This window comes from Homo sapiens, chromosome 20, assembly GCF_000001405.40.
Source record: "Homo sapiens chromosome 20, GRCh38.p14 Primary Assembly".
NCBI lineage: Eukaryota > Metazoa > Chordata > Mammalia > Primates > Hominidae > Homo > Homo sapiens.
In genome coordinates, this window is record NC_000020.11 from 57,731,748 (window position 1) to 57,750,540 (window position 18,793).

At 48.5% G+C, this 18,793-nt stretch overlaps 4 annotated features.

Moving 5' to 3' along the window:
• Positions 13,048–13,549: an enhancer, noted in NCBI's record as "H3K4me1 hESC enhancer chr20:56319851-56320352 (GRCh37/hg19 assembly coordinates)". NCBI's record gives its function as "activates a minimal SCP1, AML or CMV promoter by ChIP-STARR-seq in naive H9 embryonic stem cells {active_cell/tissue: H9 hESC(naive)}" and the evidence as "EXISTENCE:reporter gene assay evidence [ECO:0000049][PMID:30033119]".
• Positions 13,550–14,049: an enhancer, noted in NCBI's record as "H3K4me1 hESC enhancer chr20:56320353-56320852 (GRCh37/hg19 assembly coordinates)". NCBI's record gives its function as "activates a minimal SCP1, AML or CMV promoter by ChIP-STARR-seq in naive H9 embryonic stem cells {active_cell/tissue: H9 hESC(naive)}" and the evidence as "EXISTENCE:reporter gene assay evidence [ECO:0000049][PMID:30033119]".
• Positions 15,926–16,785: an enhancer, noted in NCBI's record as "H3K27ac-H3K4me1 hESC enhancer chr20:56322729-56323588 (GRCh37/hg19 assembly coordinates)". NCBI's record gives its function as "activates a minimal SCP1, AML or CMV promoter by ChIP-STARR-seq in primed H9 embryonic stem cells {active_cell/tissue: H9 hESC(primed)}" and the evidence as "EXISTENCE:reporter gene assay evidence [ECO:0000049][PMID:30033119]".
• Positions 16,786–17,643: an enhancer, noted in NCBI's record as "H3K27ac-H3K4me1 hESC enhancer chr20:56323589-56324446 (GRCh37/hg19 assembly coordinates)". NCBI's record gives its function as "activates a minimal SCP1, AML or CMV promoter by ChIP-STARR-seq in naive H9 embryonic stem cells {active_cell/tissue: H9 hESC(naive)}" and the evidence as "EXISTENCE:reporter gene assay evidence [ECO:0000049][PMID:30033119]".

Genomic DNA, 18,793 nt, shown 5'->3' on the forward strand with positions numbered 1-18,793 from the left:
ATTAGTCCGTTCTTGCATTGCTATAAAGAACTACCTGAGACTGGGTAATTTATGAAGAAAAGAGATTTAATTGGCTTACAGTTCTGCAGGCTGTACAGGATGCATAGTTGGGGAGGCCTCAGGAAACTTACAATCACGGTGGAAGGGTGAAGGGGAAGCAGGCACCATTTTCACATGGCAGCAGGAGAGAGAGCACGGGTGTGAAGGGGGCAGTGCCACAGACTTTCAAACAACCAGATCTTGTGAGAACTCACTATCATGAGAACAGCAAAGGGGAAAGGCATCCCCATGATCCAGTCACCTCCCACCAGGTCCTGCCTCCAACACTCACTCCAACACTGGATCACAATTCAACATGGGATTTGGGTGGGGACACAGAGCCAAACCATATCAGGGAACCAGCATCTACTGCACAGAATTCCTTGTGCCTAGTTCTGTGCTTAGAACTGGGAACAGTGGTGCTAAAACACAGATCCAGGCCCTGCCTTCCACGAGCTGCCTGGTTCCTGGGTCCCTCTGATGCCTCCCTCCTTCCCCACACCCCCCACATCTCATCCATTGGCAAATCCTGGAGCTCTACTTCTTTTTAAAAATAGCTCTATTGAGGCATCTTTGGCGTACAATCAACTGTACCATTTGGTAACTTTTGATCTATGTATGCACTGTGAACCCTCAACACCATCCACATGCTGAATATCTCTGTCACTCCTGGTGAGCTCTCTCTCCCGCCCCCTCTCCCCCAAGCAACCACTGATCTTCTCAGTCACTATAAATGACTTTGTATTTCCTCGAGTTTTATATATAAATGGAATCATACAGTATGTACTTTTTTGGGTCTGGCTTCTTTCCTTCACATAATTATTTTGAGATGTGTGCACGTTGTTGAGTGTATCAGCAGTTCATAGCTTTTTATTTCTGAGTAGTAGTCTGTGGCATGGATATACCCCGGTTTGTTTATCCATTCACTTGTTGATAAATCTACCTCTTTTTTACAATGCAATTATGCATTGAAGCATAACATGCATACAGCAAAGTGCATAAAACATTCATGATAGTTTGACAGAAAAATAAGATCTAGTGTTTGATGGATCAGAAGGGGACTGGAGTTCACAATACTCTATTGTATATTTCAAAATAGCTAGAAGAGAATAATTTGAATGTTTCTAGCATGAAAAAAGACAAATATTTAAGGTGATGGATATTGTAAGCAGACTGATTTAATCTTGACTAATGATACGAATGTATTAAATTATATGTACTGAAAAAAATGATATGTGACCAGATGAGTGCATTTTCATGAAGTACACACCCTCATCCATGTAACTATAGCACCCAGATTAAGAAACAAGACATGGCCAGACCCCAGAATCCCCCCTGAGCCCCTCCTTGTCCCTGCCTTCCATTCCCCTCTGTGTTCTGACACATAGATCACACTGAGGGTTCTTGAACTTCATCTGAATGGATCACACAATACATTATTCTTTTGTGCCTGGCTTCCTCCACTCTACGTTATGACTGTGAGATTCATTCTCTGTGTTATGTATACCAGTAGTGTGTTCCTTTTTACAGCCGAGTAATATTCCACCGTGTGAATACACCACAGTTTGTTTCTCCGGTCCCCTGTTGCGGGACATTTGGGCTGTTTCCAGTAGTTGGCCATTTCAGATAATGCACCTGCGGACATTGCTGCCATAGCTTTTGTGCCTGTGTTTTCATTTCTGTTGGGCTGTGCCCAGGAGTGGGAGTGCCAGGTCCTAGGGTATGCATAGGGTCAGCTTTACTAGATATTCTTCCTCTTAAATTCTTTGTAAGACCATTTGCTCTCCAGCTGTCCACCACCATCCTAGCCCCAGAAGCTGCCATTTGCACCCGGGTGACTTCAACAGCCTTTGAACAGGTCCCTGTTTACCCCTCCCCAATCCACTCTCCACATGGAAGCCAGAGTGAGCGTTCAAAATGGCAATTTGGGTTATGTTGTTGCCCTGTCTTCTCATGGGCCTGAAGCCCATCAGGCCCTGCCTCGTCCCACCCCTGACTGCCCGCATGAGTTTCTTCTGGCTGCTGTGACAGATTGCCATGAACTCCATGGCTTAAAGCAGCACACATTATCCTAAGTTCAGGAGCTCAGATGTCTACAACAGGCAGCAGGACCCATCCCTTTGAGGGGCTCTAGGAGATAATCTGTGTCCTTGCCCTTTTTCAGGTTCTAGAGGTCACCTGCATTCCTCAGCTGCAGGCCCCTTCCTCTGTGGCTTCCATCCTCCAATCTCCTCTCTCACTGTGGCTCTCCTTCAGCTCCCTTATAAGGACCCCTGCGCTTGCACTGGGGCCCTGGCTACTCCAGGATAATTTCCTACCTCCAGGTCCTTCACTTCATTATATCTGCCTGGTCCCTTTGCCTTGTAAAGTTGCATATTCACAGGTTCCGCAGATTAGGACGTGGACATGGGGGAGCCGCTGCCTCTCTGCCCACCGCCCTGTCATCCTTCTCTGGATACACTGGCCTCCCCGCTGCCCCATCTCAAGGAATAAGCCTTCTTCCCCTTCAGCTTTGGCAGATGGCCCTGGCTTTTGCACACCTGGTCTCCCTCTGTTCATGTTTTCCACTTGTCTGCCACTGCATTATCCAGTATGACCTTGTTCACTTACCTGTTCGAACATTTCTGCATCCCCATCCTACTCCTCCCTGCCCCCGTTGGTCCCTGGAGCAGGGGCCTTGGCTGTTTGGTTCCCCGCTGTGGCTCTGGTTCCTAGGCGTTTCGTGACTCATGGAAGGTCCACATTTGTTGCCTGCCTAGGGCCTTCCGTAGTGCTGAGCACTCTACTCATGCTTCCTGGGTCAACTCTAACAGCAACCCTCTGCTGTGAGTGCCAGTAACAGGCATGAATTTGCAGGTGAAGAAACCACAGCATAAACAGGTGAAGTGACTTGTTTGAGGTCACACAGCTTTTAAGTGGCAAAATCAGGATTCATGCCCAGGCAGGTGGGCTCCAGAGGGCTCGAGGGTCTTGGGCCGCCTTGTGGGCAGGGCTTTGTCTCCTTGTAGCTGTTCTTCTGTTCACAGCAAAGGCAACCTCATCCCTTTGAGCCCAGACAGTCATGCCTTTGGGATGTGTCCACTTCAGAACAGGGTCTGTGCTTGACTTACGCATAATGAAAGCTCCACTGAGGGAAGTCCCCCTGGGTCTGCCCCATGGTGAGCGCGGGCCTCTTAAGGAGCCACCTGACACACTCCTAAAATGGACTTTTCAAGGTCCCAGCTAAAGCCCAGTGTGCTTCTCCTCCTCCCCGGCAGTCCTGCAGGAAGGTAGCTTTTCATCAGACAAGGAGGCCTGCTCTGGGCTGGGGGCCCCCAACCCCCTCCCACTCAACCGAACACCAGATCTCCTCCCCTCCCTCTCAGGCTCCTGTGTTACCTGAATAGCCTGTGGGTGGGTCTCCCTATTGTTCCATAGTCAGATGCAAACACGAAGTTGAAGTACCATTAACTTGGGGGATGAGTCCGTTTTCACACTGCCGATAAAGACATTCCCGAGACTGGGTAATTTATAAAGAAAAAGAGGTTTAATGGACTCACAGGGCCACGTGGCTGGGGAGGCCTCACAATCATGGTGGAAGGCGAAAGGCACTCCTTACGTGGTGGTGTCAAGAGAGAAAATGAGCCAAGCAAAAGGGGTTTCCCCTTATAAAACCATCAGATCTCGTAAGACTTCTTCACTACCACGAGAACAGTATGGGGGAAACCGTCCACATGATCCAGTTATCTCCTGCCGGGTCCTTCCCACAACACGTGGGAATTATGAGAGCTACAATTCTAGATGAGATTTGGGTGGGGACACAGCAAACCATATCACTTGGTCATCCAAGGTCACGTGGCTGGAAGGAGGGTGGGGCAGAATCCCAGCCTAGATTCCCCTGGTTTCACAGCCTGATCTCATTGTTTATTTATTTATCCAACAAATGGTGAGCACCTACTGTGTGCTGAGCAGTGTTTTGGAAGCTGGCGATAGGCACGGAATGAAACAACCAAAGTCCTTTTCCTCAAAGAGCTGGTATTCTTGAGCAGCAGAAAATAAATGCAAAGGTTCTTTACCACAAGGTTGAGCCTGGTGAGACGGAACACTCACACAAGAAGTCAGGCAGAGCAGACATCACTCACAGATAGGCAGCAAGAACAGGCAGAAACCTAGGACCTAGCAAGCCAGCTGCTCATGGCTCAGGAAAGCTGCCCAAGGCGGAAGGCGTTTCATCTGTGCATGCTCCACCTTGGACTACAGCCTAGGGACCCTGAAAGCACCCTGCCTCAGGTTTCACACCCTGGGTGACACTGCGATTGCTGAGTTCCAGCATCGAGGGACACCCTGATCTATGAGGAATGAGGATATATACAGCCTGGGCTGTTCTGGACAGCTCCTTCTAATCTCAGGACATTGGATTTGTGGCATATTCTACAGTGAGCCAGGGCACCAGCACTGATCCCCTCTCCCCTCCTCCCAGGGAATATTTTTGGTTGTCTATTCTCATTCATTCTACTTCTGAAACTGTTCAGAACCACAGGTCAGGTTCTGAGAACACCATGAGAGGAGGTGGGAGAGCTGTGTTAGCCAAGGCCATGTGAGGCTCTGTCCTCCTGCAGTAAACAAATAAGCCCATCTTATTGACACACACACACACTCACTACACCCTCTCCTTAGGGACACACACACAAAGCCTTTTTCTTTGTAATAATTACAGCAAAAATACCACGGCTGGTGCTCATTGGCCTGGCTTGTGTCACATGCTCATCCCAGAACCAATCAATGTGGCTGTGGGGATGGAGCCAAGCTTAGGTCACAGTCCACCCCCAAAGCAAGATAAACCGTCAAACCCACCTGGACCACACGGACTGAGCATGCTGATGGGGGTGGGGTGAGAAGAAAATCCAGGTGCTCCTACTGGAAGGGAAAGGGATGATGGTAGGCAAGAGGTCCAGTAGCCTTGACATGTCTGTGGGTTGATGACTCCCCCAAACTGTTCTCCAGCCCAAACCCACCCTTGAGTCCCGGACCCACAGTTCCAACTCTCTCCTGGCCACATTTGTTTGAAAGTCCTGTGGGCACCTGGAACGCAGTGTCTTCCTCCCCACAGCAGCTCCCTCTCTGGTGTTGCTTGCTCGCGGCAGAAACCTGAGCTCCTGCGCTGATCCCCTCTCCCCTCCTCCCAGGGAATATTTTTAGTTGTCCATTCCCATTCATTCTACATCTTAAACTGTTCAGAACCACAGGTCACTTCTCACCTGCACCAAAGCATGCAACAAAATGTTTTCCTGCTGCTCTTGGAACAAAGCCCTGTCCAGCAAATTTCACACAGGCTATGGGCTCTGAGTCCTGGCATCCGGGTGATTTCAGATCCTGCCGAAACGCCCTTGCTCTCAGCCCTCTGGCCACACTGACCCACGTGGGCAGCACTTAACAGGTGTCTGGCACAGATGTCTGAACGACATCTGGAATGTCCCTTTGTCTCTTGTTTCTCTCTTTCTCTTCTCTAAGCTTTTATTAGTGTTGCCCTGCTGCATGGAATATTGCCTCATAACTAACCTAGCTAAGTCATTCTCATCCTGCAGGCTTCAGTTTACCCATCGCTTCTTCCAGGAAGCTTCTGCCCATCTTCCAGGCTAGGTGTGTGTGCTCCTCCCACAAACCCTCATACTTCACCTTAACATGGTGCTGAGCAGATGGCGTCATTTCTGCCTAATCCCTTTTCTTCTTCCCTCCCTTCTTCCTTCCTTTCCTCCCTCCGTGCTTTCTTCCTTCCTTCCCTCCCTCCGTGCTTTCTTCCTTCCTTCTTTTCCTTCCTTTTTGCCTATCTTCTGCCTCCTTGTCCCCTACTGGGCCATAATCCCCTTAAGGGATAAGACTGTATCTTACTTACCTTTATAATGGGGTGCCAAGAACTGCAGAGTCATAGGCCCTTGACTAAGCTCTTCCAAAGGAGTGGGCTTATTCCCATTAGATGGGAGAGCATCAAGGAGAAGTGGGTCCAGCCCTCCACTGTTCTCTGCTGGGAGTCCTGGAGGATTTGGGGTACGTTCTGGCCCAGGAGACCTGAGATGTAGGAAAGCTTCGATTTAGAGACAGGGATATGGTGCTGAACCTTAGGGGTTGCAAAAGAAGTACTTGGAAATTGGCTTTGTCTTTACCAACTTGACCCTGGAAAGTTGTTTCCAGGGAGCCCCCTGGGTTTGCTGCCCAAGATCTTTTCAGCAGAAAGTTGGGATATGCTCAGGCTTCTGACCTCAGAGAACATTTTTTCCATAAGGTCTAACATAGGGTGGCCAGATAAAATACAGGACACCAAGTTAAATTTGAATTTCTAATAAACAATGAATAATTTATTAGCATAAATATGTGCCAACTATTGCATGGGACATACTTATACTGTTGATTGATGATTCACTGTTTAACTAACAAACAAACTTAACTGGGCATCCTGTATTTTTATTTGCTAAATCTGGTGCATTTCTATCACGTGGAGCTGAGTTGGATGAACAAACTAATGAGTTTGTATTAGTTATCTACTGCCCTGTAACAGATTACCAGAAACTCAGCAGCTTAAAACAACACACATGGGTTATTCTGCAGCCTCTGTGGGCCAGGAATCTGGGCACAGCGTGGCTGAGCTCTCTGCTTCAGGCCCTCCCCAGGCTGAAATCAAGGTATTGACTGGGGCTGTGGTCTTATCTGAAATCAAGGTGTGGGATTGGAAAGGAATCAGCTTCTAAGCTCTTGCAGGCTGTTGCCAGAATTTATTCCTTTATGGCTGGAGGACTCATGGTAGTTTGCTTTTTCAAAGCTAGTAAAGAGAGTAAGATTCCAGAGTGAGTGCTGGTGGATGGGGGGGAGTGTCTCCTGACATGACGTCATCATGGGAGTGACACCCATCAGCTTTGCCGTGTTGTGGAGGTTTGCAGCAAGCCACAGATCCCACCCACAATCCAGGGGTGGGGATTATATGAGTATGGCCACCAGGAGCTAGGGATCCTAGGGACACCTCAAAGTCTGTCCCACACAGTTTTGTTTCCCACCACTTCACTTTTGCCCACACAGTTACTCACAGCAGGGATATAATTTCCTTTTCTGAGTGGACACCAGATGTTAGCCTTCAAGGCCCCCTTAAGAGTTTGGGCTTCTGAGCCATACTTCTCTGCCTCACTTGGGCAGGTTTTGCCTCTCTGCATCTCTGTTGTCCCATCTGGAAGCTGGAGAGTAACAGTGCCCATCTCCTAAGATGGTTCGTTGATTGCGGCTATTCAGGAAGAATGCTCAGCTCAGGGACAGGGAGCACTCAGTAGACACAAGAGCCCCACGAGCTCTGCCCCAGGCAGTGCCCAGGAACTGCCCAGGGTCAAGCCATTAGTGAGTTTCATGGCTGTCATTAGACCCCAGTGGCAGGCAAAGCCAATGCAAAGTGGAAACACTGGTGGATGACGTGCTGGGTGATTTTTCTTAACAACAGAAATAAACACATTTCGAACTTGGTTTTATTTTTGGTGTCAGTGAAGGTGGGCAGTCAAAGTAACTTCATGCCAAGCGCTTCCTGTGTGCCAGGCCCTCCCTCGGCACAAGGACACAGCAGTAAACACTGGGTGTCGAGGGCTAAGTCTGGCGTGGCTGCTCTGTGGAATTGGCCTATGGAACTCTGAGATGTTCTAAGGTCCAGGCCCTGCCTCATAGATGCCCTTCATTGGTCTGGAGTAGCCATTTTCCAACTTTGGCAAGCTTGTGAACCACCGGCGGCATCTTTCTCAAAATCACAGGCAGATTCAGCAGGTCTAGGGTGGGGCCTGAGGTTCTGCATCTCGGAGCAACTCCCTGGTGCTGCTGGTCCACGGGAGTTACAGTGGAATTGGAGGTGTTGATATTTATCAGGCTACCTCGACAGTGATGGTCTTGAAATAAATCCATAGGTTCTTTGATACTCCTCCCTTTAAGAGGTAAAGCTGACTCCCCCCACTGCCACCCCTTGGAGTGTGAGATGGACTTCATGCTCACTTCTGAAGAGTAGAATATGGTGGAAGTGACGGTGTGTCTCTTCTGAGACTTAAGTCCTAAAAGGCACTGAGGCTTCTATCTTGCTCTCTCTTGGATCACTTGCTCTGGGGGAACCAGATGACATCTTGCAAGAGTGCTCAAGTTGCCTACGGAGAGGCAAGGAATGAAGGCTTGGAACGTGCCCATGGCAGGACCTAAGGCCTGCTGCCAACATCCAGTGAGGAGCTGAGGCCTTCAGCCAACAGCCACACAGTGGGTCCCCTGGGAAGCAGATCCTCCATGTGGTCAAGTCTTCAATGGCCACAGCCCTGGCTGCCATCTTGACTGCAATGTCAGGGGAGACTCTGAGCCAGCTCCATCAAACTGAGCCACTTTTGATTTCCTGACCCACAGATGCTGTGAGATAACAAATGCTCATTGGTTTAAGCTGCTAAGTCTTGGGTATAACTAATACACCAAGTGATCTGAATGTGCAGCTGGGTAAGAGAACTGTTGTAATGGAAGAGACAGACAGTAGTCAAGCAGTTATTGAAGTCAGTGGTTCTTAAGCCTGAGTGTGCCTTGGAATCAGCTGGAGGGCTCGTTAAAACACAGACTCCGACTGGGCGCGGTGGCTCACGCCTGTAATCCCAGCACTTTGGGAGGCCGAGGCAGGCAGATTATGAGCTCAGGAGTTCAAGACCAGCCTGGCCAATATGGTGGAACCCCGTCTCTACTAAAAATATAAAAAATGAGCTGGGCATGGTGGTGTGCGCCTGTAGCCCCAGCTACTCGGGAGGCTGAGGCAGGAGAATCACTTGAACCTCGGAGGTGGAGGTTTCAGTGAGCCGAGATTGCACCACTGCACTCCAGCCTGGGCGACTGAGCGAGACTCCATCTCAAACAAAAACAACAAAAAACCCACCAGATTCCTGGGGTGAGGACTGCCGCTCATTAAGTAGCTTCCTACTGGGTCAGGTTTACTGCCCACCTATCTTCTCTCTCCCTGCTCACTCCCCACTCACCTCTAAAGCACCCCCTTGTCTCAATAAATGGGGGAACCATCCCTGAAACCTTTCTGATCTAACCTTGGCCAACTTGATGCTCCATTACTGGGGAGATGGTCGAGTAAATATCAATACCTCCAAGCTCCAGAAAATAGTGCAGCAGTAATAAAAAAGGGTTTGGTTTCTATCTGTGGATCTAGAGAGGCGCCCATGATTTATCTTGAAGTACAGAAAGCAAGTTGCACATTTTTCAAAATGAAAATAGCTAAATTGTTTTTTACATCTCCACCCGCCCCCAATTATAAAAGCAATACATGCTCATGGCAAAAAATAGAGAAAACAGAAAAGTATAAGGAGAAAGAAAGTGGAAAGAATCCAGAATGTTACTGCCCAGAAACACTACTTTTAACATTTTGATGCATTTTCTTCCAGTCTCATTTCTATGCATATTTGCACACATGGGTGTATATATATATATATATATATATATATATATATGTATATATATATATATTTAAATTTATATTGAAGCAAAAATAGAATCACACTACGAATGCTGTTTAGTAGATTGCTTTTTTTCCACTTAACTATCACAGCTTTCCATGCTAATGAATATAGATTTATCATCATCTTTCATGGCAACAGAGCATTTGAGTTTGAATACAGCCCACGTTATTTGAGCAATCCCCTGTGGATGGACATTTAGGCTGTTTCTGGATTTTCATGACTGTGTAAACAGTGCTACTGAGGACAATGCTCCATTGTACCTTACCCGCTGGGTACTTGCCTGATCCTCGCCTTGGGATCAATTCTTGAGTGTGGAATCGCTGCTTCAAAGGTTGTGCACAGGTGGCTGTCTTCACAACGATTCTAAGGGTGGGTTCTGGAGCCAAGGGCTTGGGGGTGAGTCTGGGCCCTGCCCCTCTGTTTTTACAACTGTTTTCATCTGGGGCACATTCCTTAACCTCCTGGTGCCTCAGTCTCTTCCTCTCTAAAATGGGAATAACAATTGGATGTCATTCCTGGAGCTGCTGGGAGGAGCCAGTGAGATGGAAAGTGATCAGGGCTCAGGACTGGCACCAGCCGGCTCCTGGGTGAAGCCAGAGAGCCAGTTGGGAAGGTGCCTTGGGGACCTTGGTACCTGCTGGAAAGCGGAGAATACGGATAATGTAATGTTGGCTAATTGTGTGTTTTTCCTGCACAAGGCACTGTTCAGAACCCTTTGCTAACTCACCTCATCCTTATATAAGCCCCTGAGTTAGGCACTGTCATCTCATTTACAGACGAAGAAGATGAAACACAGAGAGGTCAGTGTCATGGCTTGGAGGAGGTGGAGCTGGGACCCAAGCCTAGTGGTGAAGCTCTAGAGCCTTCATCCCTACCACGATGCTGGGGGAAAATGATGGAGAGGAAAGAATCGCTGGGGTCAGAGAGACGGGATTCAAATTCCGGCTCTGCCTCCTCACAGAAGGATGAGATGTTGAGTGGCTGAGTGAGCATTCTGTGAAGGAAAGGGGAGGTGGGGGAGGAGATAGGCAATAAACAGCAAACACGTGTGTGATAACTGCAGACCCTGCTGCTACTGGGAAGGATTTGGACAAGAGAGTAACAGGAGGGATTGGCAGGTCTGCACGATCCTCCCTGAGAACCTGACTGCTGAGCTAAGATGAGGAAGACAAAATGAGGAGTTACCTCTGGAGAGGAGCTGGGTGTGGGGAACATTCTGGCTTGTGCAAGGGCCCTGGGGGTGGGCGAGACCTTGGTGAGTTTGAGAAACTGGAAGGAGACCCGTTCTGGGGCCACTGGAGGAAGGAGGAAAGTTGTTCTCTTGGCAACCCACTTGATTGCAGGAGAAACTGAGGCACAGAGAGATAAGTGGTTTGCCAAGTCCATGGGGCTGGTAAGCGTAGAGTAGTGCTTTTGACGCAGGTGGTCAGACGCCTGAGCCTGGGCCCTTCATGAGGCATGTGAGTCATGCTCACTGGCCTTCTGAATATTCAAGAGAAGCTGAAATGCTGATTTTTGTGTGAAATATCCTCATGTTTAAATTTTGGTAACCACTTAAAACATAAAGTAAAATAAATCCTGTGGAGATATGACCCAAGGGCCATGACCTAGTGTGTTCTGATGTCACCTCTCTGTCCCTTTATCTAACAACCTCTGTGCCTTTATCTAACAATGCACACGATGCCAGTCCCTACCTCGTAGGATTGCCAGAGCCTGTTAAGAGTTATGTGAGCGAGAGCTCCAGGAGGGGGCCTGTGTCTGTCAGCCCAAGGCTGAGGTTCCACTCGTGAAACGTGGTTCCTATTTCCTCACTCCTCACCATCTCTGGCAATAGCCTAGGCGAGTTCATGTTTCTAGAATGGCTTCTGCCTTTGTCCCAAAAATGACAGAGTAGCAGCAATTGATCCCTTGATGTCCCTCCCAGCTGCTGCTTTGCAGATGCTTATGATTTGTGCATTTAAAACCCGACTAGAAAACTCTCAGGGGCACCTCCCCCATTACCTAGCAAGCTTCATGGGAGAAATGTGTCTCCCTGGCACAAATGCCCAGAGATCTGAGTAAGAGATAGTATTAGTCCGTTTTCACACTGCTGATAAACACATACCTGAGACTGGGAAATTTACGAAAGAAAGAGGTTAAATGGACTCCCAGTTTCACGTGGCTGGGGAGGCCTCACAATCACGGTGGAAGGTGAAAGGCAGGTCTCACACGGTGGCAGACAAGATAAGAGAGATTGTGCAGGGAAACTCCCCTTTATAAAACCATCAGATCTCATGAGACTTATTCACTATCACGAGAATAGCATAGGAAAGATCTACCCCCATGATTCAATTACCTCCCACCAGGTTCCTCCCACAACACATGGGCCTTGTAAAAGCTACAATTCAAGATGAGATTTGGGTGGGGACACAGCCAAACCATATCAGAGATTGACAACCATTGTTTGAAAAGTCAAACTTTGGAAAAAACCTAAGTGCCCACTTAGTGCGGACTGAGTAGTTGACAACACAAGTCACAGTGGATACCCAGGAGCTATCCATGAGGGCAGGGCTAGAGCAGGGCTGACTAATGACGGTCCTCAGGCCAAGTCCGGCCCACAGCCTGAGTTCATACATAAAGTTTTATTGGCACCCAGTCACACCCATGTGTTTACACATTGTCTAAGTCTGCTTTCAAGGTACAATGACAGCGATGAATAACTGCGATAGAGACCATATTGCCCACAAAGCCGAAAATATTTACTTTTGACCCTTTTCAGAAAAGTTTTGCTGACTCTTGGACAGCATCAATAAACACCAAGGTGGAAGGTTCCCCTTGACCGACTGCTATGTGGGAAAAGACCAGAAGGGGAGAGGGGAGGGACAGGAATGCCAATAGGGTGGCTTCAGTTTTGTAAACAACGATGGAAGGCAACAAAATCGTAGAAACATGCACACAGATGTATCTTGTAGGTGAACAAACGTCTGAAAGGATACACCCCAGTCTGCTAATCATGCTACCTCTGGAATTTAATAGGTAATATACCTTATTGAGCATGAACTAGATTCCAGACACTATGCTGAAGGCACAGATTCTCTCAATTTTACAGGACTGATCCCCTTTTCACAAGTGAGAAAATGAAGGCACAGAGAGGCAAAGTCACTTGCCCAAGGTCACACAGCTTTTGAGTAGCAAAGCTGGGATTTGAACCCAGACCTCTTCGATTCCAGACTACGAGGGAGAAAGGCAAACACGTATTTGTTTTTGTCTTTATTGTTTGATAAGCATGAAAAACATCAAACGTGACTTGCTTAGCATAATTCGGATCAAAAGCCCTCTCAACACCCCCCTCCTATCTCTTAGGGGCATTCTTACAAGTTGGGGCTCATTGTGATTTGCCAGAGAGGTCACAGGGCAAGAACTGCTCTAGATAATAGGTGAGAGGCTGAGTGGGGGCAGATTCTGAGCCCTGGGTTAGGACAGGCACCCTCTTTTAATTTGAGGCCTGCCAAGCTCAGGACACACATTCGCATGGGAGCTGAGAGCTCACCTATTCTGCCGAGATTTTCCAAGACATTGCATTTTATGAGTGTTATTAAATGGAGTTGTTGTTAATACTGATTTTATGGTGCTAAAATGATTAAGCATGGCAGGCTTTTAAACAATGAGGTTCATAAAAGGTGTTAATAACCACTTAAGTACCTTAATAATATCCCCACCTATCATAAACTGCTCCCAGTTAGGCCTCTTTACTTTTCTTTGCCCCAGGAATGAGTCAGGAATCCACTGGAAGGCTGGATGGAGACTTCTGGAACAGAGGAGGAGCTGTACCCAGTTTGGGAAAGTCAAATGGAAAGGCCAGGAAATGTTCATGTGCATTCTGAAGGACAGCCCATTTCAGGCTTTCCAGAAAGAGGACCATGGTCATCCAGGCACCAAGAATGTGGTGAAGGGGGTGGGGGCAGGGGCTCTGGTGCCCGACAGCTCCACCTGTGACTGCTCGCAGTGGCAAAACCCAGACTGCAGTGATGGCACCGAGGCTTAACGTCTGGCTGCTGCGTGTAGACCTGACTCTACCCCGCTTTCGCCTAGTCAGTGTGGTCAGTTTGCCTCCCTCTGTGCACTGCACCAGTGCAAAAGGCAACTGTGCAGCCCTTTGTTGAAAAGTTACTGAAAATTTCAAGGTAATAACAGTAGAGCCTTCAACCAATTGTGGAGCCCTTCTGAGCCTGGGGCCCTGCATGACTGTATGGATTGCACCCACGAGGCCGATCCCTCTCTGTGTCCTGTTTCCCCTTCTATAAAATGGAGTTAGACACATATATAACTTAAAATTTTTTAGTAGTCACATTTAAAAAAGTAAAAAGAGACCAGGCATGGTGGCTTATGCCTATAATCTCAGCATTTTGGAAGGCCAAGGTGGGAGCATCACTTGAGCCCAAGGGTTCGAGACCAGTCTGGGCAATATAGTGAGACCTCGTCTCTACAAAAAATTAAAAAATTAGCCAAGTGTACAGGTGTGTGCTTGTAGTCCCAGCTATGCAGGACACTGAGGTAGGAGGATGGCTTGAGCCTGGGAGGCAGAGGCTGCACAGTGAGCTGAGATTGCGCCACTGCACTCCAGCCTGTCTCCAAAAAAAAAAAAAAAAAAAGAAGTAAAAAGCGACAGGCGAAATTCATCTTAATAATATATTTAAACTTTAAAATTATGTTTAACATAATATATCCAAAATATTATAGTTCCAACATGTAATCAAATAGGAAATTATCAATGAAATATTTTACTTTTCTAAAAAAATACCAAACTTGTGAATCCCAGCATATATTTTATAATGACAGCAACAGGTCATTTTGGAATAGCTGGATTCTGGGTGCTCAATAGCTACTCGTGTCTTGCTATTGCCATGTCAGACAGCACAGATCCGGATAGATTGCACCACTGTGTTTGGAACTCATTTCTTTCTGCGCCTCAGTTTCCTTAGTTGCCAAGGGCGCATCATTAGGTGGGTCTGGCAGGGCCATTCCAGACTCCCTGAGACAGCGTGCTTGATGCATGGTAATTGGCAAGTCCATCACTGTCGCCAGATTGGAATCGCTGCCCTGTGCATGCCAGCCGGGTGAACCTGGGCACGTTCCCCCTCCCCAGCTCAGGATGTGGAATGCACCTGCCAACCACCACCTCACAGGCTGCTGCGGGGACCAAAGGAGATGCGGGCAGGGGGAGGGTGTCGTGCGGGCAAAGGACAGGGCATCCCGTACGCACAAGTCAGCTGCTGGTGTTCACAGGGCTTTGCTTTCACTCTGTAATGCCTGCCCCCTCTGGGGATGTCTTGGATCTCCCACTTGAACATGGAGGCAGTGACTGTCCATCCTGACCTCTCAGTGTTAAGACTCTGGGAAGTATCATTATCTCTTCATATTTATAGCCCCTAGAACTGTCCCTGGTATGCAGTAGGCACTTAATAATCATTAAATAACTGAATGAATGAATGTACGAATAAATGAATACCTATGTGAAAGGAGCCATTCTGCTGTCTTGTCCTTTGGGAAGGGCAGAGATTTGAAGCTGGGTGGGGACTTGGGGGCTCCTCCTACCTTTGCCTGATGGGCTCATGATCTGCTGGGCGAGACCACTCAGGCCAACTCTTAAAGCCCAGAGCCCCTCGGGATCTGCTCTAGTTCTACCAAGGGGTTTCACCCTCCCTGGTACTGGGCTCTGGGTGGACCAGAAGGTCTGTGTACTCCCAGAGGGGCCAGCAGAGTGGCCTGTGAATGACCTCTCCCCCACCCCCACCCCAGCCAGGACTGTTTACTCCTAATACATTAGATTTCCAGATGGGAATCATTTGGGCAATCGTGCACTTTTATATCCTTGAAAGGAAAAGAGAAAATGGCAATGCTTCCCTTTCTGCCCTTCCCCTCAAGGTCTGCCAGGATGACATCAGACCCCCAACCTCACCAGGGGGCTTCCTCACCAGGGGTTGGCGGGGACCAGAGGGGCAGAGCTTTGAGGGAGGCCGGAGAGAGGGCCTGCCCCTTCCCCTGCTTCCCAAAAAGGAAATCATGAACTTGGAAATGTTGGAAGCATGTCCTCTGTTAACCTTCTGCACACCTCAGTCGTCTGCACTTCACCGTCATACTTTCTGCCATGTCTGGCTGCCACTCATACTATTTCTTCGCTTTTTTCTTTAAGATAAGTTAACAAAGTTTTTATATAGCATTAAAAATGTTTTCATTATGGAAAATTTTAAATACATACAAAAGTGGCCTGAATAATATAATGTAATCTAATCTAATACAATATACTCATAATATATAATGTATGTATTATATATAACATGTCATATTAAATGTTGCAATATAAGATACAATATTTGAAATGATATGTAATATACCCATCACTTCGCTTCAAAAAGTGTCCACTCGTGGCTGATCTTGTTTCTTCCATGTCTTCACTCGCTCCTCCACTGCAGATTACTCTGAGGCATACCCCAGAAATCATGTCTTTGCATCCACAAATATTTCAGTATCTCTCTCCCTCTGAAATGTTCGACTAACTTACAAAACTTAATTTGTCTTAAAAGTGAACTCTGTATCACTACCCTAAGAGGAAATCTGGGTAACTTTCCAAAACTAGATGGAAAAATAAACACCGCGAAAGTAAAATAGTGTTACCCATGTCTACGTGAGCGTGAGCCTGCTCTCTTGGTTCAAAAAAGGAATCCAAGTGCTCAGGGAGTGTTGAGGACAAGTTGGCACCCAACTGAGACTTTCTCCTTCACAGATAATTAGGAAGGGTGAAAGACAATTGGGAGGGGAAAACTTTCTCTCTGTTTGGTTCGTTGTTACCTGATACTGAACCATAACCTCACTCCTACCGGCACGTCTGCCCGGGGTGCCGGCCACTCCTGGGTGCCACAGCTGCAAGCATAGGCACCCACGGGCAGGGCTGGCTTTCAGGGACGTGCTGCTGCTGGTGCAGGAGGCCCGCCTGGGTTCAGATCCTGGCGTAGCCCTTCCTGAGTATGTGAGCTTGGGCACACAGCAAACTCCCCGGCCTCAGTTTCCTCATCAGGGAAATGGGGGCAGGAGTAGTGGTACCACGCATGGCTGTTGTGAGGCTCACGAGATATTCCAAGTATAGAGTTTAGAACGGAGCGTGACAGAGCAAAATCTCAATGAATGGCAGCTGGTGGTGGTGTTGTTTTTATTGTTATTATTACTAGCAGCTAAGTAGACATCCCGATTTCTTCCAAAGTGTCCCCTCAACAGTGGAGCTGGAGTTACCTTTTCTCCCTGGTCTTCCTGGTGGGGGCTAAGTCTTGCCCTTTCTCCTGCCCCAGGCATTTTGGTTTCTGAATTCCTGGAACTTTGCACCGCAGCATCGGGGCTCTCATGATCCCCTGAGCCACTTAGCCTGCCAGCCTGTGAGTCACCTCTGTCTACTGGGGAAAACCAAGCGGCCCAGAAAAAAAAATTCCAGACTCCCATGGGCGTCCCCAGCTGCCTGCTGCCGGGATGAGCAGCGCCACCGCCACCCCCATCCCTGCCAGACAGCTGGGCAGGCTGCCAGGTCCGCGGCTCACACCCAGGATGGCAGCAGACAGCTCCACTGGGCTGGGCTCTGCGTGTGTGTGCGTGTGTGTGTGCGCGCGCGTGTGTGTGCACGCGTGCGCCGCGTTCTTTCCCCTCTGCTGGCCTGGGTTGTTTCGCTCTGGGCTGCGCATTCATTTTTAGATTCCGGCCTCCTCCCTCCCCGCCATCTCCCGCTTCTATTCTTAGAAAGCAAACTGGGGTGTGCTTGGGCTTCGCAGGGAAGTCAGACAGAAGTTTGCCCACGTGCTCCGGCCGCCTGAGATATGGAGTTAATTAAAAAGGAGGCTTTGAGCGGCAGGTTCATTGGCCGGAAACGCAGCTGGCGGGGGCCAGGGCGAGCCTGGGGTGCCCGGCCCCCCTGCTCTAGGTGGACTTGGGGAGCTGAGTGGAGGCTCTGCCCAGCCCAGCTCCCAGGGCCTGAGAGGGCAAGGCTCTTGGGAGGGCCTGCCCTGCCTGGATGGGTTGGGGTGGCCGTGAGTGTTGGTTAAATATGAACTCTTCAAGCATGTTGAGCTGCTGAGAGATTTTTAATTAGATAAATAAATTGTAAAGGGTTTGGAGGAGGGTTGCCTTCAGGAAGCTGAGCTGGCTGAAATGTGCTGTCTGCGGAAGGAAGCCGACCTTCCTCAATGCCAGCCTGGCAGTGCAAGGGCAGGAAGGCAGGGAGAGAGGAGAGGAGGGAGGGAGGGGTGAAGGGAGAGAGATGGGAGGAGGAGGAGGGTCTGGGGGTACTGGAGTGTCTCAGTGTCAGAGGCGTTGGAACCAGAGCGACTCCATCTTGAGTGAGGGCTGGAAAATGAGGCCGAGACCTGCTGGGCTGCGTTCCCAGAAAGTCAGGCATTCTGAGCCTCTAGATGTTTATGGTTAAGGAACAAATTAATAATGTTTACTAAACAGACCCAGACTTGGGAGTGTCCAGATATCCTGATATCTGGAGAACAAAGGCATTCCTAATTTTACTTTAAAGATAATAATATCGATTCTTGTAAAATACAGTAATTAAGAAAACTAATCCTTTATCACAAACCCTCGTAGCAGAGCACATCTGCCCATATATACAAGCATTGTACCTAGGGTGGACGCGTTCCTCCTCTTACTTTCGGGAATGTCCTCCTCTGTCTGTGGAGTAGCTGTCCTTTCACCACTTGACTTTCTTAGTAAATTTGCTTTTACTTTGCACTGTGGACTCACCCTTTCTTGCGCAACTGCGATCCAAGAACCTTCACTTGGGGTCTGGATGGGGACCGCTTTCCTGTAACAGCAGAAGAGAGTGAGCAGCTGGAAGGAAATGTGCCTGAAGAGAGGGGGAGTGCCTGGTTGAAGGAACCAGCCTGAATGGGTTCAAAATCCTGGCTCTGAATTTTCCAGTTGTGTAACCTTGGTCACAGCACTTAACCTCTCTGTGTGCCCATTTGCTTATCTGTGAAATGGGCACGTTTATCATAATGGTGCCCCTCTTTAACTTAAGACAAAGGGCTTCAGCAGCATCTGGCACAAAGCAGGGATTATGAAGTCACCCAAATTTATGTCTGCAGCAGGGAACAGAGGAAAAACAGAGGCAAGGACCCTATGGTGTTTAGAGACAATGGTTACCCCTCTCTGTCTTAGCCCAGCAAATCCCAGCGGCATTGCACGTAGGAAGGGGAGGCAGCCCTATCAGGACTTAATCTTCTTGGAGAAGAAGCAGGTGAGAC